Source organism: Homo sapiens, chromosome 11 (genome assembly GCF_000001405.40).
Source record: "Homo sapiens chromosome 11, GRCh38.p14 Primary Assembly".
Lineage (NCBI taxonomy): Eukaryota > Metazoa > Chordata > Mammalia > Primates > Hominidae > Homo > Homo sapiens.
In genome coordinates this window covers 132,219,477-132,247,274 of record NC_000011.10, presented here as the reverse complement: position 1 = coordinate 132,247,274, position 27,798 = coordinate 132,219,477, and the positions used below count along the sequence as shown (strand labels likewise).

At 44.4% G+C, this 27,798-nt stretch overlaps 1 protein-coding gene across 45 annotated transcripts in view, besides 1 other annotated feature; it reads right to left on the bottom strand.

The window, feature by feature from the left end:
• Positions 1 to 27,798, bottom strand: part of NTM (neurotrimin) — a 966,208-nt gene that overhangs the window by 89,548 nt on the left and 848,862 nt on the right. The gene's annotated exons all lie outside the window — the stretch shown is intronic.
• Positions 1,091 to 1,591: an enhancer, noted in NCBI's record as "H3K4me1 hESC enhancer chr11:132115578-132116078 (GRCh37/hg19 assembly coordinates)". NCBI's record gives its function as "activates a minimal SCP1, AML or CMV promoter by ChIP-STARR-seq in primed H9 embryonic stem cells {active_cell/tissue: H9 hESC(primed)}" and the evidence as "EXISTENCE:reporter gene assay evidence [ECO:0000049][PMID:30033119]".

Here is a 27,798-nt window from a genome sequence, read left to right as displayed (position 1 = left end):
GCCCTGAGTATGTGTCCAAGGATGGATGTTCTAGGGTCTCTGACAACCTCCCTGTCTCTTCTGTGAGCTGGACATACACGCAGATGGCAAACCACAGGGCGATCAATGATGAGCCTGAGATGTGTGCATGTCAAGTTCATGGGGAGCCCAGGAGGAGGGGCCACACTTGGGGGTGAAAACTGGTGCCCAGGAAGGTTTCCCAAAGAGGCAGCCTGTCTGCTGCCTCTGGAAGGATGTGAGGGTGGGCACCAGGTTTGGGGAGGGGAGGAGGATGGAGTGGTTTTCTCAGCAGAGGGAACAGTATCTGCAAAGCTTAAATGTCTGGAGTCCACCCTGGGAAGACGCAGGACAGTGGGGAGCAAGGGCAGGGAATGAGCCTGGGGCTAGAGAGGGTGGCCGGGCTCTTGCCTGCTGTAGGCATCATGCTGGATGCTGAGCTTTGTTCTCAAGGCTTCTGCTCACAATGAAGGTGAGTCGGTATGTGACTGGCGTGTGAAAGGACGGCCGACATACGAAACAGACGATGCCTTCCCGAGCTATAACTACATGTGTTTAGGATGTCACTTGGTAAGTTATTCTTCTTCTACCACTTTAATATCTCAGCTCAGCTCATTTTTCAGCTTCTTCCTCTCAACTCACTCCTCACCGCAGGTGTGCGTTTCAGAAACACAAAATTATTTGAATATTATCCAAAGCAAAACAATTGGAAACCAGAGAGGGAGTCAACTATCAATAATTGGAGGAGGGGGAGAGTGCACATGGCTCCAGATTGGAATAAAAGGGTTTTGTTCTGCCTCCACTGGGAGTTCAGCTCTGTGACCTCGGCAGAATCACTTAATCTGTGGCCGTGCGGTGCTCCTTACCTGTAAAGGAGGAAAATCACCATTGCTGTTTCACTGGGCTGTTGGGAGCTTTAACTGTAAAAAGCCAAGAGATATAGAACGAACTGTTTGACTTTCACTGTGCGATTGTGTCGGTGGAGACACACACGCACGCGCACAGGCATTCACACCCTCCGTGGGCCACCGGGCAGGCTTGGAGGAGTCCCACCTGTGCGGGAGGTGCGGCAAAGGCCCCTTTGCCTGAATCAGCACTTTAGTTCTGGGAAAACAAAGCGGGTGTCTTCCTGGGATTCTCCTGCAGGGCACAGCCAGTTCCGCTCAGTGCTGCTAAGGAGGCTGTGGGCCCAAGGCAAGGAGACTCCACTTTCTCTACTCAGTCTTCCTATTTGCCTCTCATTCTCCTCTAGCCCGGGGCAGCTCTCTCATCAAACCCCTATAGGACAGGGGCACGTGGCCGCCCGGGGAGAAAAGATCCTGACGCGGCAGCTGGGATGAGTAGAGAAGATCAAATCCTGCGGGCTTTCTACTCCTACTGGCCTTGGCTCCCCGAGTCTCTCTGCACACTGTGGGAGCAACCGAGGAGTTTCAACCCTGAAACTGGCACAATGCTGCAACTCCTAAGAAAGAGGAGAGGAAGGGTTTGGAGGGAAGAGCCAGCTGGCATGGCTGAGCCGAGTAGTGGCATGAGGGGAAGGGATACTAAGTCAGTGCTGGGAGGCAAATAACATCCACTGCAGGCCAGCTGGCAGTGGGAAACATTTGTTCTTAGGACAGAGTCCCCGTGACGCTCTGCCCCGCACCAGGACTGCAGGCCGTCGTACAGAAAGGCTCTCCTAATTGCTGTCACTCCCAGCCTTTCCCTGCACCTCCTCCATCGTGCTCTCTCCTCAGCGCTTAATTGATGTATCTAAAAAGGCACCGTGCATAAAATGCTCCGCTTGCTCTTTCTAATATTATGCCTGACAACCAGCCTCCCCGGTGCACGCTCCCCTCAGGCCTGCTCTCTCCTCTGCAATCCCCTCCCTCCTCACCTCTGTCCTGGCATTACCTGGCCCTCCACTTCTCTACTCTGCACTTGAACTTCCTGTGCCCTTTCACCTCCCGTCTGAATGCTTTTTATTGGCCCTGAGGTGCACAGTCTCCATTATTTCTGACCTCTCCCCCGCCTGGACAGTAGGTTCCTTCTCTTCCACCAAAGCTCCAGGAGGCGGCCACAAGAAAACAGACTTCACACGGTGCAGCTTCCCTGTTAAAGTTCCACCCATGCCCCGGCAAACCTCTGTCCTCTGCCAGGCCTGGCAGGGGCCGGGGAACCTCTCTGCCTAATCCAGCAGCCATTGCTTCAGTGCACTTAATATTCACGACAGATAGAACATTTCACGGCGAATTGGACGCACATTCAACTGGAAATGAAAATTTTATGACTGTTCTCACTCAGAGCCGCAGATTACACCAGCTGAGAAAACACGGGCGCAAACGTACAACCTGTGAAGTATATTAATAATGAAACCACAGCCTGGGAAATGAAGGCTTTATTCTGTTTATATTCTGCTCCATTAATAGAAGGCACTTCAGCTAGCTCCGCCCCATTAGCCAGCAATCTGTGCAGTGAGCCGGTGGGCTGGGGGAACTGGGGGCTCCCTCTCGGCCCACCACACTGGCTGCAGAACACCCAGAGGTCACAGGCTTTCTCTCAGTGACAGGCATAGGGGCCTGTGCACCTGCGTTGTGAATAGCTCCTATGTACAGAGAAGCTAGTGTGGTTTTGATCAGAAGACATGTGTGTCCCTATTAGAATAGCAAGGTTGAAAAGAGAAGGTTCTCACCTGATCCAGAAACAAGAGGGTCAATGATAGCCTAGAGCCAGAGAGAGATAAAGTGTAAGTTAGTGTACAGTAGTTCTTAAAGTGGGGTACTGAATCACCACCCAAGAATCACCTGGGGTACACATTTAAAATGAAGATTGGTAGACCCAATCCCAGAATTGATGAATCAGTCTGTTGCGTTATTAAACTAAGTTTGAGGAGTGCTGTCTCAACTTTATCAAACTCCAGATGAAATAAGCTCACCTTTCCTCGCAGCTGTCTTTAATATTCAAACAGCAATAAAAACCCATAGGCAGAGACAGTAGCTGCATTCTTCCAGGGGTTGCATTACCTGAGACCTAGTTCCAGGATGAGCACACATATGTGGCCACAGCCAGGGCTAGAGCCTGGGGATGGGTGACTGAGGGACTGGCCATCCCTCCCTTCTACACTGAGCACTGATCAGCGGCTGCCTTAGGGTCACTGGCTGCAGGTGTGGCAGGAAGCCCCGAGCTCAGGATGGCAGAGGGCCCGTCTCTCCCTGTCAGCCCCAGCCTGGAATGATTTACGGATCTGCAGTGTAATTAGTGACAACTGGAAAGAATTCAAGAACCTGATGAGCCCATCATGAGAGCCCATGAGACGGGATGGCAGACGGCGGAGACAAAAATGAACCTGGGGACCCTTTAGTGAAGGAGGGTCTAAACCCTGGCAGCCTCCACTCCTGCCTCTGCTCTGGGCCTGTGAGGGCTCAGGGCCATGCTGCAGGGCTGGGGGTTCTGTGGGCCAATATGCCAGCTGCATAGCCCTCTTGTGGACTACTGGGCAAGAGTCTCCCCTTCCATGACCCTCCAGGCTTCCTGGCTCCACCAGTGGCCCAGGATTGGTCCAAAAGTTGGGCAGATGGTCAGTTCTGGGAAGTGGTAAAAACACACTGTCATAAGGTGCTTGGGTACATCGGAAGGTCACCTCACTCCATTTTCAGCAAAGGAAACAAATACCACCTCTCATTTCCTGGCCCCCTGCTCCAGGCATGGGCTAAGGATGAGGGAAACCCTCTACTTCTCTGTTCCCCTTCAATGTCCACTGTGTCCTGGGGCTCTGAGCGTGCAGAAGGCCACATCTGCTGCAGAGGGATTCTGCACTCCCAGGCCAGCCCCACAGAGAATTATTCAGAGCAAGAGTAGGAACGGCTCCACTGGCATACATGGCACTGTCAATGCCTCGACGTACCCCCAATAATGCGAAATAGCCTATATATGTTTGATATTTTTTGAATGACAAATTCAAATATTTGTTGAGTCACATGGAGTTTGCACCCTTGCTATTTATGAACCTAAATTCTCTGAGACAAATCAAAGTTTACTGACTTCTTACCAAGCTCTTCCAGAAAGCCTCCTCTCTCAGACTTTGCTTCAAAACATGATCAAAGATTTGAGCAGTAATTTGTTAGTAAGAGCTCTTCATTTGCATATGAAGAGCCAAAAACATTGAGAAGGGAAGTGATATGTCCTCCCTAAATTAGAAGCTGTTAGACCTGGATGTTGAGTACTCACCTTTATAGCTTAAGCTAAGAACTCTGCAGCGTCTTCTTAAAATTGAGGGGCAAAAATGGGTTTTTCTTGAAATTCAGTCCCTGTGTCTGAAGTCTTATTGCTGGGAAACATCCTTATGTGTTTTCAAATACAGCTGTGCTACTCTCCTCCCTGCCACACCAGTGCAAAATGCCACAGATTATGCAAAGCACATCATGGAAGCTAAAATGAGCTGGAGCTCGATTTCTGTAGCTGAAACAACCTGATGTTGACAGAATGGGGACGCGTTTCCAAGCTCAAAATTTTATAATAATACCTCGAGGGAGTCATTGGCAAAGTTCGGCCAAAGTCTAATTAGTTTGCACAGCTCTTAGAGGCTGATAAAAGGTTTTAATTTGTGGAGTGATCTCATGAATCTCAGACACTTTGTGGCTGCTCTTGCTTTACTTTCAAACAGGGTGGCTACTCGGGCCGTGTGAAAGCGGTGCAAACCCAGCCCAGGCTGCGCAGGCCTAAGGGCACCTGAGGGAGGGGAAAGGGAAGTAGAATTTCTTTGCTCTTTTGATAACCAGGATAGAAGAAAAACTAGCGAGACGCCCAAATGACACCTCTTCTTTCTTTGCTATTCTTTCTTTCTCCCTCTTGCACTCTGTCCCCACCCACCATTTTTTTAACTAAGCAGGAGCCCCCCTTTTTTCCCCTAAATGTAACATTTTTTCTTCACAAATTGAGAAGCTTGGAGAATTTACTCAGCTTGATCCTCCATTTCCAGGAAAGCCAAAAGGAAATCCTCAGTCATTTTCTTGTGTGTACTTTAATTGTTAAGATGGGGACTCTCTGGAGAGCGGATAAAGAAAGATGATAATGCAAATCAAGACAGCTTGACTTCCAGAGGGTTACCCAGGATGGGGAAGGCTCCACTAGTTGATCTGAGGCTAAGGACTGAGAGGCCTACTGAAGGCTCTTGAATTCTTCCGATTAGCTGAGAGACAAACAAACGTGAGAAAAATAACCGAATGAGATGGCATCAAACAACCACAATCTATTGTGCCATTGCAAAGTACAATTGAGCAAAGGCTGGGATTGCATCTGATAGCATAATATAGGTTTTACTCACAGTAATTTGCCTCAGAGGGAGAGAAAACACAGCACACACATACTGCGACCATCACAACAAAGGCTAGTTTACATTTTCCTCCCAAATGCTGCTTCTTAACAGAGAATTGTACTGTGTATGGGCAATTGGGCTTGATGAATGTACTATAAATCAGGGAGCAGGACTGGAGGGTGCATCCAAGTGCACTTGTGGATATGAGGCTTGTATACAAACATGCAAAATAATTGTGCACTTTCACGATAGCTTTTAAGAAAGACCCCAGAAGTTTTACATCTATATCACAGATATTTTTAGTATTAGGAGTACGGAACAATTCATTATCAGCTTCATTTTACAGAGACACATGCAAGAGGTCATGGCAAGAGGTGAGCATGCCTGGACAGAGCCAGTTACCAAAAGGGTGCTGTTTGTGTTTACGACTTTGAATTACTCTGATTGTATGTCCCTGCTCAACAGTGAAAATATCCCATTAGTTGATTTGGCTCATGTAACTAGACGTCACTGAATTGTATTGCTGGGGGGGATGAGGACTAAATAATATTACAGTTAATTGTATAGCATTTCATCCAACACATGGTAACTATTCAGTAAAAACGGTTAAATTGGCCTCAGAGCACCAATCACATGATTATCAACCAAATAAAATAGGCTTTATATGCCAAAAGGAAAAAACATTATATATAAATTTGTTATATATGAAATACATATATTAAAGTTTACAGAAGGCAAATTTCTTAATTTTTCTAATACAGGTTGAGTATCCCTTATGTGAAATGCTTTGGACCAGAAGTGTTTCAGATTTTGGATTTTTTGAAATACTGGAATATCTGTGTATACATAATGGGATATCTTGGGGACGGGTCCCAAGTCTAAACATAAAATTCACTTATGTTTCATATATACTTTATACACATAGCCTAAAGGTAATTTTAGACAGTATTTTAAATATTTTTTGTGTGAAACAAAGTTTTGGCTGCGTTTTGACTGTGACCTCTCACATGAAGTCAGGTGTGGAATTTTCCATTTGTGATATCATGTCAGTGCTTAAAAAGTTTTGGATTTTGGAACATTTCTGATTTTGGATTTTCTAATCAGGGATGTTCAACTGTAGAAACACTTGGGATTTCCCCAGCCACAATATTTCTGTAACTGTTTCAATTCACAACTTTGTTATGCCAAAGCGCATTTTACTGACGACATATCTCAACGTGTTTAGAATTTTTTTCTCTATCTAATTTCACCCCCTAATCTCTCAAGTTCTTTCGAACAAATTTCCTTCAGTGCAGTCTTCCATTTTTGGGTGCTTGAAAAAGCCAGTGGCAAAGTATCTTCAACAGGATGGCATTTTTCTGGCAAATGCGTAGTCTCCAGCGAACAGCTGCTCTCTAGAGCTAAGCTGAGGGTTCCACCCATGTTTGGAACAGGACAATCCCTCATTGGAATATGTAAAAACATTCTTGAGATGGAAGAGTCAAGTTAGTAATGCCCAGTTTTAAAATTGGAGACGCTACAAGAAAGAACTGGAGTTGTAGTTGTATTGGAGACTCACCCAAGAAGACTGTTAGAATCACCATTTCAAAATTAGACCCAGTTTATACTCTGAGCTTTCTGCTAGATTCCACTCTGTCTTTTATCTATGGTTCAATAAAAAGAATTAGACATTATCTCTACAAAGAAAACTGCTTACAGAGTTGAGGAAAAAAGAGAAGGACTAAAATGCACCACCAAATGGTATCACAAAAAGTTATTTATATTTGTCTCTCATGATAAATTATGAAATCCCCAAAGACAGAAATCATGTCTCATTTGTTTTTACTTTTCTAATTTTTACTTGTTTTTCCAGCTTTACCAGAACCTAGCAGATGCTAAGCAAATGTTTGTGGATGGATGGATGGATGGATGGATGGACGGATGGAGGGATGGAGGGATGGACGGATGATGGATGAATGGATGGATGGGTGGTTGGATGGATGAATGGATGGATGGATGATGGATGGATGGATGGATGGGTGGTTGGATGGATGAATGGATGGATAAATGAACTAGGAGAGGCATAATGCTCCCAAACCAGATAAATGTAATCCAAACACTAGTGGAACAGTTTGGTAGACAATATGAAAATAAATTAGTGATGTCCTTTTCCTTTAATTGTGATAAAATTTGAAAAGAAGAATTATTATTGTTATGCTACTCTTATAGAGGATGAAACACATCACACATACAGACATGCACACACACCCCTCACACTTCATATGTATGGCCGGAGATAAAAACTATTCATTATAAGTTTTCAAGATGGGTACAATAAAAAGGTTTGGGAGGGAAGATGTACAGTAAAAGACATTCCCAATTTATACCGTTGGCCAAGTTCTGCTATTCTTGAGATTACATATTAAATCACAAAGACTTTTTTTCTGTCTCTCTCAGTAAAATGCAATGATGGTGGTGCTTGGGCAGATGAACATGGTAAACTGAGAGAGGCTTTGAGAAACATAACAGCCCCACCTTAGTTTTTAAAGAAGAAACCCTGGAATTTTCTAATAAACCATTTTTAAAATTTCAACCACTATTACCTGGGCTAGGTTTATGGGATGATTGCTTAAGTTTTAAATTCATTTAGGCTGTGCAGAGAAAAGGTTTTCAACATCAGGAAAACAGATAATTTTGGGAAACTCACCAGTGGCATAGCAGAAAATGTATTTATTTCTCTTTACAGAAAAACATTAGATTGGATTCCAAGAGTCCGAAGTTCAAGCCCTTTCGATTCTTTCTCAATTGGTAATATAAAAGTAATTTCTTACGACATTTTAGGACTACAATGTTCTCTGCCCTAAAAATCTGAAGTCACCGACTTACGGCAGTGTCTCTGGTGTCTATTGTATCTGGGATATTCTTTCTGAGAAGTTTTTGTGCTTCATTCACCCCAGGACCTGTATAGATGTTGTCAGCATTTGATGGAGCAAAAGGAATTCATTTCTGTTTGCCCACCTCAAAAATGGTAGCTATGCTGCTGTTTTATTAGACTGCATGGAGCATGATCTTGAACAAGGCAGTGCAGACATTTCTTAGAGAAACAAGGCTCCTTTTGCTGTGGACCTGCAACATCAGCATCCCCTGGGAGCCACTTAGAGATGAAGACTTTTCAGCCCTACCCCAGACCTGCTGAATTAGAATCTGCACTTTAACAAAGTCCTCAGGTGACTTTATGCAGCTTACAGCAAGAATGTAAGTGACAAGGGAGGCTTTATGCAGAAACTTCTTTCATCTGCTCCTCTGTTTCTTGGTGTGTCTCCAGCTGCGTTTCACCTAAGGCAATGAGCTCCGCGAGTCCACACGCAGGCTGCTATGAGCTCAGCAAATGGCCAGAGCTCTGGGAGGCTGCCCTGCCTCTCATACCGAAAGACAACCTCATGCCAAAAGACAATCTCATTGTCTAGTTCTGTCTTCTGTCTATTGTGGGTTGCTGTGGTGATTCTGAAGATGCCAAACAGAAGAGAAAAGCCAAATGTGGTCAGAAAATGGATTCTGTGGATTCATAACTCCTGAGCTTAGAGAGGGGAGGCATGTGGATTATTTTCAGCCATCATATCACCTTTGCCTCTTCCCAGGCGTTTGGGACCAGCAGAACAGAGGATGCGTGCCCTCTGCCTGCTTCCTTCTCCTGCCTCCCTTGGTCCCTCACTCCACAATCCTCCCCCATCTTATGCACACATCTCTGGGCGGGGCTCGCTCACCTGTAACCTTTCCTCTCCTCTCCCCTCAGCTCCAGCCTCTTCTCAAAGGATGTCTCCCATCCTCGCCGATTAAGGGTATATCAAAAAGAGTGGCAGATTTCCAGGTTAAGAGTGATTTAGTGGAGTGCACTGCAGCCAAATTAATGCTGGCTGTAATGTAGTTTACCTCATTAAACAATGCACACCAAGATCCTGTCTGCTGTAAAACAATTGGTCTCTGAAGCCCAGTATTCATCTTCCAGGGTTGCTGGGAGATAATAAATGGGTAATATTCCGGTGATAATGGTAATGGAGTCACGGCTCAGAGCTAATATTATGGCAAAGTAGTAATTATTTCAACAGTAAACAAGGGGATGGTTGGGCTGCCGACAGAATTCAAGCCTATTGAAAGGGTTCAGCGAATTTCCTCGGAGCCGAGGCCTGGGACTGGCTGAGCGGGGAGGATGAAACTCCAAATCTCTCTGCGCGCCCAGATTTCCTCTGGCTACGGAGAGACGAAGACATCCAAGCTTTTACTTGCCCTGCTTCTGATTTACAGGGGAGGACAGTTGGCTTGAGGCCTCTGCCTGTGGGTTCCAGAGAGAGGGACTAGCATTGGGACGCACCCCACCTCCGTCTCCACAGTGTAGCCCTCAGCCTGAGATGCTGAGACTGAGTGCGGCTTTGTCAGGCAGTGAGAATGTCCACAAACGGGCTGAAAACGTAGACCTCTTCACGGGACCGGCTTCTTTCACTTTCCGCCATTTGGATGGGGTCAGTGGCCCAAAGGCTGAGAGAGTAAAGAGCTAATTATCAAGACAAAATTTCAGGACTCTGTGATTCTAGAGCTACCTGAATCTGACAGAAACTCTGGGATCACTGTGACGTACCGAGATCCCAAAGAAAAACCCTGAGGTCAGATCGCAAACTGAGGGCACTGGAAAGGCCCTCGTGGAGCCGAGAGCGTAAGTCCACCTTGTCTTGACCAAAGGAAGCAAGTGCAGAGGGACAGAGAAGGTGACGTGAGGAGCAAAGGACAACAGGACATCTAAGTTAGCATCTGGCATTTCTTCAGGATGATGGACCCATGTTCCGGACGTTTACTGCTGAGGAGCAAATGGCTCCAAAACAGGGGCTTACACCAGCAATGGCCATCTTAGTTTTCTGCTCATGAATCCGGGGTGGAATGAGCTCAACCAGCAGATCTCATCAGGGTCTTCCATGAGGTTTCTGGCCAGATCGTGGAGGACTGGGGTCCTCTCTAGGGCTGCTGCACTTCCAGACTCTGACAGCTGGGCCCGGGGATCTGGGCCCCTGGTCTCCCCTCTCTTGAAGGTCTCGCCATGTGGTGTCCCCAGGAAAAACCAGCAGAAGCTGTGTGGCCTTCGGTAACCTGGCCTTCGACATCACACAGCCTTCCTTCCACCTCACTCCATTCTTTCGGAGGGAGTCAGTAAGGCCAGCCATTCTCCATGCCGGGAGATTAGACTGCCACGGGTGAGAGTGGCGCAAAGAATTCTCGGACACTTCTGAGCACTAGCACAGCCCACTGCTTCAGTCTGGCTTGCTCTGCCTTTCTACAGCAGTGCTATGGTTTCCCTGCCTCTGATTTTGATTCAAAACCTTTTCATTGCTCTGTCCATCCCTGTCGATTCAAGTATAGGTAAGGCTCTCCCCATCTTCTCATCCTAATAACACTAGTAATCATGGCTGCTGTGGATGAGTGCTCCATTATGCCTACAGTGGATGTGGAATAGTTATGCCGTCCCACTTTTAGAGGTGTATATTCCTCCCAAGTTACAATTGGAGAAGCGGCTGACAAATGTGAAGCAGATGGAAACACAGGTCTGTTTGATTCCAAGTCTATTATCTTTCCCCAGTGCTGTTTTCCTTCTAAGTAAAATTAGTTTCTATAGATACGATATGAGCTACTAAAAAATTGCCACAAAAGTTATTACTATATAACTTTGGAAAAATCACCAAACCTCTCTGAGCTTCAATGTTCTTATCTGTAAAATGAAGATTACAATGGTACTTACCTCATTATGAAGATTAAATGTGATCACAGATGTAGAGCACTTCACTCAGGCTTGGTAAAGAATAAATGCTCCAGAAAAGTTGGCTAATGATACTTTGTCATGCCTTCAATGACAACGAAATCATTTTCAAGCATAGGCTTTATTTTGCAAACAGCCATTTGGCTCAAACTATCATGAATTAAGCGAGTTATACAATTTTGTTGTGTGTGTGTGTGTGTGTGTGTGTGTGTCTGTGTGTGTGCCTGTCAAAAAATTGAGGGCTGACTTTTTAAACCAAATCGAAGGCATTTTGATGACATGTATTCCAAAAAGGGTCACAGCAATGGCAGATCACTGACTACTTCCTGGGGGTATACTAAGTAGTTCTGATAATTGTCAAAAACACCACATTGTTCAAATAGACTGCATATGCCAGAGGTGAATATTAATCAGTTGAAAATTTTCCCAGGGGGTTCACTTTTAAAAACACTAATAATGGGATAATAAACAGGCCCATATAGAATTGTGTGGAATTATCTTGGAAAATCCACCCTGTCAGATGTCGATGCTTATGGCAGGGTGGTCTCTGAGCCCCATGTGGCTCAGCCTGCATTACCTCAGCTAATTGATAAAAAGCCCAAGGGACTTTTGCAGGGCAAATGAGTTAGTGCTACATAGGGAGAGGAAGAAAAAGAAAAGTAGGAAAGAAATAGAACTTCCTTTTTATAGTTTTGTTTCTCCTATTTCAGTGCTACCAAAAGTACTACATTCTAGGCATCTGCTAATTCTGAAATGTGACCACCTTTCAATCCAGTTTACAACACAAGAGGAAGAACGTTCTGGAGGCTGGAGATGCGTGATGACTGGACACACACATGCATACACGCTCACACACATGCACACACACCCACACCCACACACAGTGAACACTTAAAGCCTGATGGGGGTTTGATAACCCACCTTGCTTCCTATTGATGCATCATTGGAGGCTCCAACATTTCTCATCTCCTTGAGGGGTCGGAAGATGATTCTAATGGTATTTAATGAAGATGGAAGCAGAGATGACTCCCCCTGCATTAGAAAACCCATGTGGGTTGACTTTAGAATCTGGGCTTCATTCCAGAATTCATCCCATTGACAACTAGGGAATGTCATGAGTCAGACTGCTGCTACAACAGAGTCTTCAGATCATATGGAGCGCTCTGCATCACAGCAAAGGGGAGAACCACATTAATACAGGCAGGCATGTTGCCTGCTGGTTCACCAAAGGCCCGTCCTGATTTAATTCAATATCTGTTTCAGCTAAACATATCTTACTGGAATCTAACGTTGAAAATCTATTTCTAAAGGCTCAGTTTATGACTACAAGATTGACACAAACACATATTACACATTTTCAAAAGTAACAAAGTTATGTAGAAGAATATAAATGACACATACTTCAAACAGTTAACAATAACTAGTAATTTTTTGATGTAAAAATTGAGATTCACTTTTGAAAGTGACAAGATTTCAAAGTCCATCTCAATAGAAAAGAAATCTCTATGACAAAGTGGTCCCTTTCTCTTCTTGTTGAAATCATTATTATTATAACGTGTAAAGTGTTTTTGAAATTATGAAATCGTAATTACGGGATTCTGAGAGGTCCTGAGGAGATACCTAAGGAATTCAAAAGAAATGTAGTAAATTGAGTAGGGCTCATTTGACCATGGTCTTCTGGTCAACTTAAGGCATGCCACCTCTGCTTCACAAATAAACTTTTGCTACAGAGAGATTCCAGACAGAAAACAGGGAGAGAGGGTGAAGAGGCAGGAAGAAGAGTTGGTGATGGTAAAATATGGGTTTGAAACCAGCAGAGATAAGGAGTATGCAATGATATGTTTTGGTTGAAGGTGCTGATTGAGGCAAATGTGCTCCTCCTGGGAAGATGATGGCCCTCTCTAAGGCAGTACTAGCGAAGACCGACTCAGATGCTGCCACAGAATGCTGTATGCTACAGAAACAAAGCAACCAGTGCCACTATCCAAAAACAAACTTCCCCATAGATAGAACCAGAACCAACTGCAGACCAGTGAGCATAACCAAAGATCCAGGGCAAGAATCAGATTTTTGTTAACCCCAGTTAAGAATGACTCCAAAAAAGCCAAAGTGGGCAGGATATAGAATTGTTTGCATAATGAAGATGGAGGCAGAGATGACTAGTCAGGGACGAGGCAAGAAAGTGTCTTGTTGTAGCTGAGGTTGAAAATAAGGTGAGCCATAGCTGTCGACTGGAGCACAACATCTACAAGCCAGGGAGGACCCCTGGAGGGTGGCAGGGGCCACTCTTGGAAGACAGAGAAGTGGGCATCATTTGGAATGGATGTGAGAACTATCCTCATTGCAACTTCACAGAGTGCTGAGGAAAGGCAACAAAAAGGGAGTATGGAGAAAAATAAGAATTTTAATAACAGTGTTCAGAACCTTCAGGAGTCCATGTTCATGCAGTGCAGGGATTGGCAGACTTCTCTAAAGGACCAGATAATAAATATCTCAGGCTTTGCCAACCTATACCTACAATCTAGTTGCAACTACTCCACTCTGACATCGTAAGACAAAAGCAGGCATAAACAAATGGGCATGGCTGTGTTCTGATAAAACTTTATTTAGAGACAATGACACTTTAATTTCAAATAATTTGCACAAGTCATGAAATATGATTCTTCTTTAATTTTTTCAACCACTTAAAAATATGAAATTCATTGTGAGCCCACAAGCTATTCGTAAACCTACCTGCCTTAATCTGCTGATCCCTAGTGACATGAAATGAGACAATAAGAGTCAACACTGGCTTTGAGATATTTTTCATCCTGGCTGTAGTGCAGTGGCGCGGTCTTGGCTCACCACAACCTCTGCCTCCCAGGTTCAACTGATTCTCCTCCCTCAGCCTCCCAAGTAGCTAGAATTACAGGTGTGTACCACCATACCTGGCTAATTTTATTTTGCATTTTTAGTAGAGACAGGGTTTCACCATGTTGGCCAGGTGGTCTTGAACTCCTGACCTCAAGTGATCTGCCTGCCTTGGCCTCCCAAAGTGCTGGGATTACAGGCGTGAGTCCCCGTGCCTGTCTGGCCCCATTCTAAAACTGGTATCAATCCCGTTGTTCCTTTTGCCCAGTGATTTACCTTTTGATTCCTGCACTGCCCAGCTGTGTCCTAACGTTCAACTCTCTTCATTTCCTTAGACTCCCTTCCACCACAGCATTTGTGAAATGGTTAGGTGAACTTTCAGATTAATTGTGCTGTGTAAATAAATGCAGGAGTTAGCAAACGATAATGAGAACAAATGATAATTGCTGTTGTTATAACAACGGTCATAAACGCCGCTTACGTTTTTTGCTTTTTGAGTTTGTGTTGCAAAAATGTAAAAACACCTTTATCTTAGAAGATTGCTCTGTGGTGGGTTTACACCTCTCCTGTCTGCCTTTTTTATTTTCTTGGCACTGCCCAAAAGAATATGCATAATTAATACAAAACTTTTAATAAAGGATAATGTGCGTAATGTGTTCATGTTTACAAAGCACCTCCAATGTACTGTTGCTAATCTTCATATTCTGATCCTATTTTACAGATGAGGTAACAAAGGTTCAGAGAAGTTAATTGGTTTGTTAAGAGTCACCCACTTAGTAACTGGCAGAGCAAAGAGGCAAACCAAGTGTTCTGACCAAAGTGCTCTTCACTTCCCCGTATTCCCTGCCCTCTCCTCTAGTTATGTGTGAGCTGGGACATCAGGTTAAAAGCTTTCCTCACCCAAGTGTAGACCATAGACAAGCCAGCTGCAGCAGCGACAGGTGGGCGACTCGTCCTGTCCCAGCAGTGTGCCCGGGTCCCAGTTCCTTTCATGAATGCGGGAGATCAGTTGTCAGCTTCCCCACACTCTTTGCTTTCTCTCCTCCTCTTTTCCCCTAATGTTTGCCAACGTGGTATATATCATCAGATGGTGAAATAATTTACACTCGCCCCTCTGAGCGCTTGGCAAGCACCTCCTTTCCTTTCCTCGCACAGTGGGAAGTTTATAGTCAATATGAATTGTAATTGCTCTGAAGGGCTGACTTCTCAGCACTCTCCAGCTGCAGAGCTCTCCCAGGCGAGACGCAGGTAGAGTGACAACAACGCAACGTGAAGTTTTTAATTCCCTTTTGTGTCTCCCTTGGATCTGGAAAGAGACACTGCTGTGAACCTCCTGGCTCTCTTGCTCTGCCTTCCACCCACTTGGCAGCTACATCGCCTAGGGAGGACAGCAGACGGGTCTCCTCCCACTGCACTGCCCTATCCATTAGCTAGGCAGGGGGAGAACTTTCATTTGAAAAGTGCATGAAAACAGCGTCAGAGCTGATGTTTAATATCAAATGAGGCCAGCAGCATCTTGATATTATCAAGGCCTGTGGACAGCACTGACTATTCCCAAGTTACTTTCTTATGGAAGTAGGAATGAAGGAGGCTCGTCACTGGGCAGACTGGTATCCAGCTCATAGCTCACAGCTCATAGCTAAATTCACTTTGTGTAATGTGGCTAGGAAGTTGCTTACCCAGCAATGACGAAAAACATATCACAGTTCAAGACTGGACCATCACATTTTGAATAAAATGCCCTTTTAGAATAGAAATAAGAATGTATCCATTTGTTTTGGTTTATTAAAACCTAGATCATAGTATTACTTTCAGTTAAATTTCAATCACTTTTTGCTCCCTTAATAAAACTTCTGTGTCTATGCAAATTGGAGGCTGCTAATTGTAAATTTACCCTTTTACCTGTAAAAGAAAGGATGTTAAGAAAGCAACAAGCAGTCATTCGCTATCGCTATTAAATGGACGTTAATTATGAGGCTTTGAAATCCACTGGAAACTTAGAAGACATTATGGATTTCACTTGAGGGGACATGGAGACTTGGAAACACTGCCAAAAGAAAATGGTAGCCCTTGTACCAACAGGTCATCTGAGAATAGTATAGGCCAAACTCTGCATTAGAGAAAATGGAGTATTGTGAAAAGGTCTTGAAGATGGACATTTGCATCTTAGCTTGCCACATCCGGCACTTTACTCTGTGCTATAAACAGTATGTTCATCTTTAAGATTAAGAAGACACATTTGCTGAGGACAGGAATAACTACCAATTCTAATGCTCACTCTGTGTACCACCTGTGATGTCACCACTCTGACACTTATTGAGCATTATTATTACAATTATTATGAGAGACAAGGTGTCACTCTATCACACAGGCTGGAGTGCAGTAGTGTGTTCATAGCTCACTGCAGCCTCGACCCCCTGGCCTCAAGTGATCCTTCTGCCTCAGCTGCGACTGCAGGTGCGCATCACCACACCCAGCTGATTAAAAAATTTTTTTGTAGAGATGGGGGTCTCATTATGTTGCCTAGGCTGGTCTCGAACTCCTGGGCTTGTGAGCCTCCTCCCTCAGTCTCCTATTGTGCTGGGATTACAGGTGTGCGCCACCACACCAATCCTGAGCATTTGTTTTATATCAGGCCCCGGCATGCATTTACATGAGTTACCTCATATAATCCTTACAACAAGCTAGGAATATACATCCTATCACGGTCTTAACTTGACAGAGGAGATGGCGAAGGCTCAGAGAGGGTGGGCAAAGTGCGCAAGGCGCGGCTGCTTGGAGAGTGGTGAGCAGAAAGGGAGCGTTGAGGTTCATCGTTATGCCCCTGATTAAGCTCCAGGCCCAGGTCCTGAAACCCAGTTCAAATGCAGAAAAGACAGCTGCTGATGCCGCCAGACACATCCAGGAGGCTGGGTGCAGGTCCCATCTCCACCTCTGACTTGACCTCCAGCAAGTTAACTAACATTTCTGCACCTCACTTTCCCTATTTTTTGAATATAGATAATAATATGACATTATTACCTACTTCACAGTGCTGCTCTAAAGATAAACATGCTGATATAGGTAAAGTTCTGTCAGATACTTTAAAAAATGAGAAGTCTTTGCTGCTACTGTTTATAATCGTCTTTATTAGCTTTGCTGTTCCCCACTCAGCATGTCCCCCTCCAATCAATCCCTTTGTACTCAAATGAGAAGATACATCGACTCTCAGGGCTCAGCTTCCTCTCTCTTAAAAGCTGTACTTTCTCACAGGCCAGCTACTAAGTAACTTATTTGTGTTTAATTGTCATTTATATTAGAGACAGAGCCAATTAACCTTCTGTTGGGATTCTCATGTACAGGTTAAATGACTTGCTCAAGGCAGCCCAGATTCTATGACGGCAGTTGCCATGGAAGGAAGGTTGCTGCTCTCTTGCCTATATGGCAATAGATAAAGTAGCTACTGTACAGTGGAATTTTTAGGCATAGAATAATGAGGGCAAAAGAGGGTGAATGGCTCCTTGAGTGAACATGCCAAGACTTGCCATGTGGTCCTTCTATCCATAGAGGTGACTGCTGCTACCCATTTATCTTAGATGGTTGAACCACTTTCCTCCCCAGAGCCAGGCTCTGGGCCATATAACATGACATGATATGCAGTAGAACAAGACAAAACACTAGCTTCTGAATCTACAGATTGTCATGAATTCAGACCTCGTCCAACACAGTTTAGACGTCAACTTTCCTTGGGGAATTATGAACTCTCAAAACTTTGATCTTCTTTTCTGTAAAATACCGTTAATAGACATACTAACTGCAGACAGTTGTTGGAATCAAATGAACATATGAAAATATTTTAAAACTTAAAAGTAGTAAAAAATATAAACTATATGGATTCTAGCCAAAAAGAAGGTGATATAATTTAGTAACGCCTTCAGTAACTAGATTGATTCATCTTGAATTTTCTTGTTAGTATTGAAACAGAATAGGTAATGAGTTCGGAGTGAAACCTCTGGAACCAGGTTGCCTGGTTAAGTCTTGGCCATATTGCACGTTAGGGAGCACCTGTGAGCAAGCGGTCTAAGTGCGTGCTCTGCGCCTCAGTTCCCTCATCTGCAAAAGAACAGCAAGAACACCTACATCATAAGGCCGTCAAGAAAAATGAGGAGTTCTCAAATGGAAAACACTTAGAAGAGTGCCTGGAACATAGCCAAGCTACCGTAAAAATATCAGACACTATGCAGAGGATGAAGAGGAGGTGGGAAGGAGGTGATCACGGTGATGAGGATGATGATCCCTCTTTCAGTTATTCGTTTCTCAAGTAGTTAGAATCTCACCATTTTAGGCAGCTGCTATTTCCCTAATCATAACCACCTTCATTTTCAGGCACAGATGACTCATGCCTAGCCTAAGAATCCAGGCTTACCAGAAGGTCCTAGGGTTCCTTCCTGCTCTCCGCATGACAACAGTGCAGTGGGGCTCCCATCAAGAGGTCCTGATAACCATGACAACATGAGCAGTGCTACTCTACTGAGGATGTCATTGCCATGACAACACCTGAGTGACCCAAACCAAGAGGTCTAGGAAACTGGTGATGCAGAGAGAAGACATGTCAGCACACGGAGGAACGTGACCGCTCAGAAGCAGCACAGGGGCTGGTCAGTGTGGGCAGCTGGAAGCAAAACTAAAGACAGCAGAATGATGTGGAGGAAAACACTGTGGTCACTCACTAATTTGCTCTAATTTCTCAAGAGCCATGAGTTCTGGGGAGAAGGTGGGTACAGAGAGGGATGGAAGCTATTCTCTCCTATTCCCCATCTTATACAATGTTCTATCAATCAACTGGCTTTCCCTCTCCAAGAAAGGAGTGCCTCTAGGGCAATGGTGGCAATGAGAATAGGTTTGTTAGGACTCTGAAGAGGAGCATTTTGGATGAATACCCAGGAAGTCACCTGGAAGCCAAGATTAGATGGGCAAGGTATGGCGGCAGGTACGTTTTCCAGGTTGGTGAGCTCTCCCTCATCCCTAACATTATTGAAACCTAAACACTGAGGCTGCCTGCTTCCTCTGCCCCCTTGATGTAGAATTCACAGCACTGAGGCAGCAGGGATGTTCACAGAATTCCCAGGGCATGGACCTACGTAGAGCAGAGGTATTTTCCCCAGAGCCCTACTCCCCTGAGGATACGACTTGGGCAGTGTTTGTCCACATTTCTGTGGCGTTGGGTTGCCCCTGCACTTCCACTCCCTTCAGAGCTTCTCCTGGACAAGGAGGGGACTTCTTGTGTGTGGGCCAGAGGGGTGGCTTCAAAAGCCTAACTTGATTCCTGCTGTGGCATCTTTTTTGAAAAAAGATACATTCATACGCCCCTGCTTCAGGTGAGCATCTGGTCATGCAGGGTTAAATATTGAGGACTTTGAGAACTTCTGCCTTGGTCCTTGGGGAGGGACTGGGGATGAGCAGAAATCGTTCTGTGTCCCCTGCCCCTTCTTATAAGCTGGTTCCCACTCCAAGCAATTTTTCCCGTAAGTGCCACAACTATCAATCCCCAGTGGAATCCTCATTAGGGCTGGCAGCAGATAGTCTCACTTCCAGACAAAGCACCTAGTGTCAGCCACAGTCAATTGCTTTAGCAACATAGTGACTTTTGTTCCAAATTCCCAGAGCACCCAAAAGCCACACATAAAAATTTTGAGGTCATTTGGCTGAAGATCAAAATGTATAGATTGCTCAAAAAGCAGAGGCCAATCTTGGCTAACTCTTTCCCCTATTTTATTTGAGGAGGAGGAACAACAGAGAACACCGAGACAAGTAATTACACCGCAATAATAGCCAGTAAAGGACCAAGGGATATTAGGCTGCAGATTGGACTTTAGAGGAAAAAATCCTGAACTCACACTCTCCTCCAACCACTGACCCTCCATATTCTGCTTCCCTTTGTAGTGAAACTTCTCAGCAAAATTAATTACTATCTCAACTTCTTTAACCCATTCTCCCTCTTTCTAATTAATCTTTTATCTACCGTCTTCATCAGAACCCTTCTTTCCAATGTCTCATGTGTATAAGTGCATTTTGCCAAATCTTAATCCTCATCTCCCTGGACTTCTAAGCAACACTTGTGCTGTAATCACACCTGCTCTTTATGAAACATTCTCCTTGAACTGGTTTTGAGATTTCCTTCTCATCTCCCAATTGTCTTTGCTGGATCATCCTTTTCCTGACACTGGACTATTGGAGTGCCACTGTTCCTGGCCTACAAAGCTGTTGTCTGCCTTCACGCTGCATGTGGGATAGCCAGCCTCTGGCTCTAAACACCACCTGTATGGTTAGGATTCCCATATGCATTTTTCTAGCTCCCTGGCATAGTCAACTATCTACTCAACATTTTCATTTGTATATCTAAAGGACCAAAGTCTTTCCTACCACAAGCATGCTTTTCTTGGAGTTTTTGATGGACAAGAATAGTATATTACCAGCATGGTATACACCAGCAGCCCAGGCCACAAATCTTATAGTCAGTCTTAATACTGAGCTCTTTCTCACAAACTTCATCTAATCAATCAATGAACTTTCTAGCTTAGTTTCAGAATATATTCCAGATTAACATACTCTTAGATTGCAAATCCTACCACTGCAGTCCATGACGTCATCAATTCTTGATGGACGAAATCAACAGTATTCTAACTGGCATACCTTTATGCCTTTACTGGCTATCTTTACGCCCCCTCCCCTCCATCTTTCTCTTCATGGTTAAAGTAATTCTTTAAGGACTAATATCCAGAATCTACAAAGAACTTAAACCAATTTACAAGAAAAAAACAACCCCATCAAAAAGTGGGCGAAGGATATGAACAGACACTTCTCAAAAGAAGACATTTATACAGCCAATAAACATATGAAAAAAACCTCATCATCACTGGTCATTACAGAAATGCAAATCAAAACCACAATGAGATACCACCTCACACCAGTCAGAATGGCAATCATTAAAAAGTCAGGAAACAACAGATGCTAGAGAGGATGTGGAGAAATAGGAACATTTACACTGTTGGTGGGAGTGTAAATTAGTTCAACCATTGTGCAAGACAGTGTGGCAATTCCTAAAGGATCTAGAACCAGAAATACCATTTGACCCAGCAATCCCATTACTGGGTATATGCTCAAAGGATTATAAATCATTCTACTATAAAGACACATGCACTTGTATGTTTATTACGGAACTGTTCACAATAGCAAAGACTTGGAACCAACCCAAATGTCCATCAATGATAGACTGGATAAAGAAAATGTGGTACATATATACCATGGAATACTATGCAGCCATAAAAAGGATGAGTTCATGTCCTTTGTAGGGACATGGATGAAGCTGGAAACCATCATTCTCAGCAAACAAACACAAGAACAGAAAACCAAACGCCACATGTTCTCACTCATAAGTGGGAGCTGAACAATGAGAACACATGGACATAGGGAGGGGAACATCACACACCAGGGCCTGTCAGGGGGTTGGGGGGCTAGAGGAGGGATACCATTATAAGAAATACCTAATGTACATGATGGGTTGATGGGTTCAGCAAACCACCATGGCACATGTATACCTATGTAACAAACCTGCACTTTCTGCACACGTATCCCAGAACTTAAAGTACAATAAAAAATAAATTTAAATAAAAAAGGTAAAAAAGGAAACATTTATTAAATTATTTTGCTCTCCTGCTTAAAATGTGCTGGTGTATTTTTATTAGAACAAGTCCCACAGTTTTGCACATGGTTTTCAGGTTCATGCATGAACTGACTATAGGGGCTCTCATCACAGCATCCTACATCACTTCCCTGAGCACCAGAATTCTTGCTGTTCTTCATACGCACCAAATGCATTCCCCACTCATGGCCTTGGATTTGCAGTTACCTCTGCCTGGAACACCCTCTCTTCATACAAGCCCTTGCTGTCTCATCTCGCTTGGGTCTCTAGGCTCTGTGCTGAGCTGGCTTTCTTGCAGCACTAAAGTCACTCTCTAACAAAAGCAGCTCCTCCTGGCTTTCTTCACCCATGTCTTTTTTTTTTTAATTTTTCTCCATGGCACTACCTCTCCCTGGCATTGGGTTGCATATTTATTTATTGAATATTGCCTACACTCCCATACTGCAGCCCGATGAGGCAAAGGCTGAATTCACCATGCAATCTGCAGCACCTAAGTATACACTGTTGTGCTTTAGCTACTCAATAAATATCTATTGAATAAAAGATGATTCATTCTGCCTATTTATCATATATCTGCTGTATTCTATCATTTCTGTTCAATCTGATAAATCCCTCTTCTCTTAAAAAATGAGTCTGGAGTTGTTATGATCATTTTTGTAGAAAAGAGAGCTAACCCACATGGATCAGCAGGCAGAAATAAATCAGACATCAGCAAGTCCATAATACCCTACCTATTGCCACACAGGAGAAAAGCTGGACAGAGAACCCCTAGTTCTCCCGAATAGGCAATAAGGGAGGCCAAACCAGAAACCTGGTCGTCTTTCCCAGCCTGTCCTCCACCCTCACTCCCATCCTACATTGGACCAAGCATCAGGTTCTGGCAGTTTGGCCCCCAACATATCTCTAAGCCCTACCCTCTCTTCTCCACTCCCACTATCTCATGACCTCTGCCCTTGACCTTTTACTGCCTTCCTGAAGATTGGTCTTCTTACTCTGGACCACAGGAAGACTTGGCCTATGGAGAGCTACCCACTTACTGCCACTGCTGTACCTTCAGGGGCAGGAAGAAAAGGGGTTTCTGCCCTGCCACAGACACAGGTTGAAGCTGAAATCTGTGAGGTGAGGTTTCACCACCTTCCACTGGGAACATGTGGGATTAACACCAACACACCTCATCTCTTATTGCCAGGGTGCATACAGGCATGTGCATCTGCTCCTGCTCCCCTAACATCATCAGGCTCTCCAGCCCATTCATTCCCCTAGAGAAAAGAATTTCCCCCTTCTGGCCAATCTTTCACTCTCCCCCACCTTCCACACCCATCCACTGGGCTCTCTGGAACACCCACAACATAGGCAAGATGCTCCCCGAGACCATCAGCCTTCAGGCAGAGTGCTCCCTGAACTGCCTTCATTTATTGAAACCCAGCTGTTTCCTGAGGGGAGTGCCTCCTCGGTAGCTTTCTCAAGAAAATGTTGAGTTGTCTGTTTTGGCATGCAGAGGTTGGGTCTATGATCCTCCTCGTAGTGGAGGATCCTCCTCAAGTGGAGACCTTTTCTCTTTCACACTTTTATTGAATAGCCCTGCTCCTGCTGGTCTGAAGCTCCTGCCACCTGGCAATGTTGCTCCGCCCTCTCTTCTTTTCTGCCAATGACTGATATCCTGAGTCCCTCAAGATTCATCGAGGGCTTTGACACTTGGCTCACAGCCCAACTTGTCACTAGCCTCAGCCATTATCTGGGGTGACTGCAACGCTCCTTGTGATGAGTCCTCAGACACCTGCGCTGTCACCTACCTGGCCTCATCTTCTCATGGGCCTTCCCCTCTGTCTTAGCCATAAGCTACCCCCGCCATTGGCCTGAACTTGTCATTCTTTGAAATCACTAATTAAGGGACTGCCATTTCTGACTCGAAACTCATGTCTTTCCAGCATGCTTGCTCAAGTACTCAAACTATAAACTCATGTTTATTTTATTCACTTATTTTTTAAACAAATATGTATTGAATGTGTATGATTTGAGAGGCAAATTGGTGCTAAACATTGGTGCACATAGCAGTGAGCAAGGATAGGCATGCTTCCTGCCCTCATGAAGCTTAGAGTCTAGTGCAGACAGGGAAGGTTTTAAATAGGTTCTGTCACCATGTGGCTATGTTGATGTTCTGTGAGCGTGCCGGCTGGGTCCTGATATCATGCCTTTGCAGTCACTGTGAACCCTGCCAGGAGTACTCCTGCCGAGCTATGCAAATGTCAGTCCGCCTTTTATGAGGTATCTTCTTAATGAATCCATTCTACCACTCTATTTAAGTCTACAATCCCTCAAACACACACCTGATCATCTCTTTGCCTCTTACCCTAAAGCAATTACCATATAACATATTACAGGGCTTCCTCAGCCATGTGTTGATTTTCTCTCCCTCCCACTAGCATACAAGTTCTGAGAGGCCAGGGCTTTGGTCTGCTTTGTTCACTCATAGGTCTCTAGTACCTCAGAGAGTTGCCCCACACACAGTAGGTGCTCAATAAACAATTACTGAACAAATAAGTTAATCAAAATTGCTTTACCAAAAGGTTTTCCTGGGGACAAAATCCATACCATTTTCTCTGCTTAAATCCTTTTCTGGACTGGTGTGTGTCGAAATAAATAAATCAATGAGGGAGAAAGCCATTTGTCTTTTTCTATCTTGCAGATAACTGGCCAGATATCTTCAACCACAGTCAACTCAGCAAAGCACTCCATAAAGGGCAAGGCAGTGATGAAAGGAATTAGGGGAGGAAACGCCTCCCGGGCTGCAAATCAGTTAAACAGGGGGAGTCCTGAATCTATTATGGAAGAACTGTAAAGTCCAAAGTCATTTTGTTTAACTCTGGATTAGGAGGAGGAAAAGAGGTTTGTTTTTCAGGGTGGGGTGCGTGGGGGGTGAGGGCAGTAAGCAGAGAAGAACCCACCACTGTTGGGTAGAATAAGGGGCAAGATGAGCCTCCCAGGGAAGGGGCCACATCTTCAGGACTCCGGGTTCTAGTGCAAAAGGCAGGCTGCGGCTGTGCCATGGTATTTGGAGAGCCAGGTGGCAGACTGGGGCCTTGAGGAACTGAAATGATGCTCTGCTCAATCCCTTTCAACTGTCCTGGTTCTGGAGAGAAAAGCATTTTACACAGCTAGGAAGATGAAGAATGCCAACTCCCACAAAGACAGGTGGGGAAACTGAACAGACTCAGATAAGAAAGGACACACATACCCTGGAGTCTGGCAATTTCTTTTCATGTCTAAAGCTGTTAAGGTATAAAACAATCTTCTAATAATAATCAATGCACAAGACACAGCATTATTTGAGTGAGTGATAGCATTTAACATGAGGAAAACAAAAGTCAGGTCAGAGGGAGGCTGTGTCCGTCCTGTGCGCCACGGCCATCCAGGTGGAAGAGAGGAAAGAGAAAGGTTGACTCAGTTGGAAGAGCTCAGCTGCCAGTGAGGAAGAAGTCCAACCTCCACACAAGGGCTCTGTCCTTTGCCACTGAGGTGCTCATCTCCAGACCTACTGGAAGAAGCCTGAGGTTGCTGGGGAGGGTGGAATGCAGAGACCTGGCACACAGCAGAGCCTGGAGTCCAGCGCGATGACACAGGTGCGGGTAAATTTGTAAGAATGCTGTGAGAATGTGCATAACCCAAAGACCGGGTGCCCCAAGCTGGTAGGTGGGATGAAACCAGAGAATAGACATGTCCCAGAGAGCAAGATGAAGCAGTGGGCTAGACATCAAGCAGGAAATCAATATGCATTAACAATATGGATTTTGGAGTCAAAAAGTCTTGGATTTGAATTTCACCTTTGCCGTTTAGTATTTGTGGGCAAATTCCTTCTCCTGCCCCCTGATTTTCATGCCTTCGTCTCTAAAATAAAAATAATGCCTACTTATTAGGACCTCCATGAGAATTAAGTAACATAATGCTGATGAAGAAGATTGCTGGGCACAGAGCACATTTACACAGCAGCAGTTCTCAAACTTGAGCTTGCATCACAATCACCTGGAGGAAATGTCAAAATCAGGCTGCTGGACCCCACCCTTACAGCTGTCGTTCAGTAAGGCTGGGGCATGAACTAGGTGATGCTGGTTGATGCAATGGTCCAGAGACTGCCCTTTGAGAACTACACTACCCAGCACAGCAATGAAGCCCCTGCACTCTGGGGACAGACCGACTACCTGGCTTGGAACCCACGTCTGCAATGTGGCACTGTGCCACATTAGCCCATTAGCCTGGGCCCATTAGCCTGATCTCCCTAAGCCTCATTCAAATGGAAAAACATATTAAGTTTTCTCATTGATAAGGTGGGCTAATAAGAAGACCTGTCTCGCCTAGTTGTGAAGAATAGATATTACTATGCATAAATGTTTTTAGAAGAGAGCCCCCGACATTCTTGCACATCCACCAACTGTTAGCTATTGTTATGATTGAATGATACTGCCTCTGGTGTTATTTAGACTCCAGGAGAAAGGCAGTCGTCATGGGTCAAAACAAGACTCAGGATCTGAAAGTAGGCACAAAGTCAGAAAAATACACCTGAGGACCTAGTGATATGGACGTTTTCATCCGAAAGTTTCTCCCAGCTTGGTTGGCAGTGCTCGGAGGGTCCTACACAAGAAACTCCCCAAGCCTTTAGCTGGTCTACAGCGGTGTGACTCGAGGAGGTACCCTGGTTGTGATGGGCGGTGGGACATCCCACTAAGGACCTTCTCATACTCCCAGGCGGTGCTGACTCTTATGGGTGCTGGTTGAGAGATGGGGTCTCCTGCCCTGTAGGGGCTACCATTTTAATGAGACTTTGCATCTTACTGAGCTATGGCTGGTTGGCTTCTGTGGGGAGGATGATACAATCTTCTTGCTATTATGTTTCCTTTATTTGTTCCATCAAGACAGTTCTGCATGGTAACGGTCACCAAGTACAGGCATAAATAGCTTAAGACTCTGGAGAGTGTGGGGGAGGATGCTGTTAGCAATGTCTGAATTCAGCAGACATCTGATTCTACAATATTTTCCAAGGGTTTTAAAATAATTGGGTAAAACCACAAACAGTGTCTGTGGTATGCACTCCTGCCCTTGGTTTCTAGAATGAGGCTTGATTTCATATGTTCTCAATTCAGCACATTGAACTCATTAATTTCCCCACTAGTCTTTTTATTATTTCTCTCTTCTTTGAAGTAGGAAGTTACACAGCTATAATAATGCTTTAAACCAGATCATAAATATTAAATTTACAAAAACCCCTATTGACACTGGCAAATTTTACCCTAACTGCATCTATCTAGCAGTAATTTTACAGTTAAAGAGAATGACAGAGTTAAAGAGTGATCTATAAATGTCTTCCTCTGCTTTTTTCTCTCCCACCTTGGTCTGCCTGTCTGTGTTTAAGCCACTTATGTAAGGAGTTCCTGGACACTTTTCCCCAATTTGAGGTTGTACCACTGGTTTATCTTTGTCACAATTAATCCCTTTTTTTCTGTATATATTGAACCTAATGCTCTATGTTTCACAGGTACTCTGAACAGGAAGCTGGCCACTTTCCATTATGATGCAATTATTTTTTTGTTCTCCCACCATCAATGACTACTGTAATATCTTTTGCAATGGCAATTACTTGGCCCTCCTGGGATAGCTTCTTGGGGTACTGGGAATTTTAATCAAGCACCTATGTTAATTAGAAAATGGTGGAGATGATAGTGGTGCTGATTAAGCACCTTTGAATATCTATCCATTTTGGCAATGGACTGAGTTGAGCTTTTATAAAGATTCAATCTTTTCAGAAAAAAAATAACTTGAGTTTCCTTCCCTTCCGTTCTTTTCTCACGGGTGGGAGTGAAGAGGAGGGGGCTGGCTGAAGGTCTGCAAGCTAACATTATTGGACACATACTATGTGTTGTTATGGGGCCAGGAGCTTTCCATTGGTGCACGTGTTTAATCCTTGTCATATCCATGTGGGAAGGTATTATTATCTCTATTTCACAGAGTCTAAAGCTCAGACTTGAGTACACATGAGGAAGACAGTGGGGGGGGAGGGCCTTTTCTTATGAATTCCTTTGATTGGTTTGGGAAATATGAGATGATCCACAGTCCAAACTGATGCAAAGAGATACATTATTATATTATATTACCTTTAATAATATAATATTATACATATTAAATTAAGAGAGACTTAATTTTAGAAAG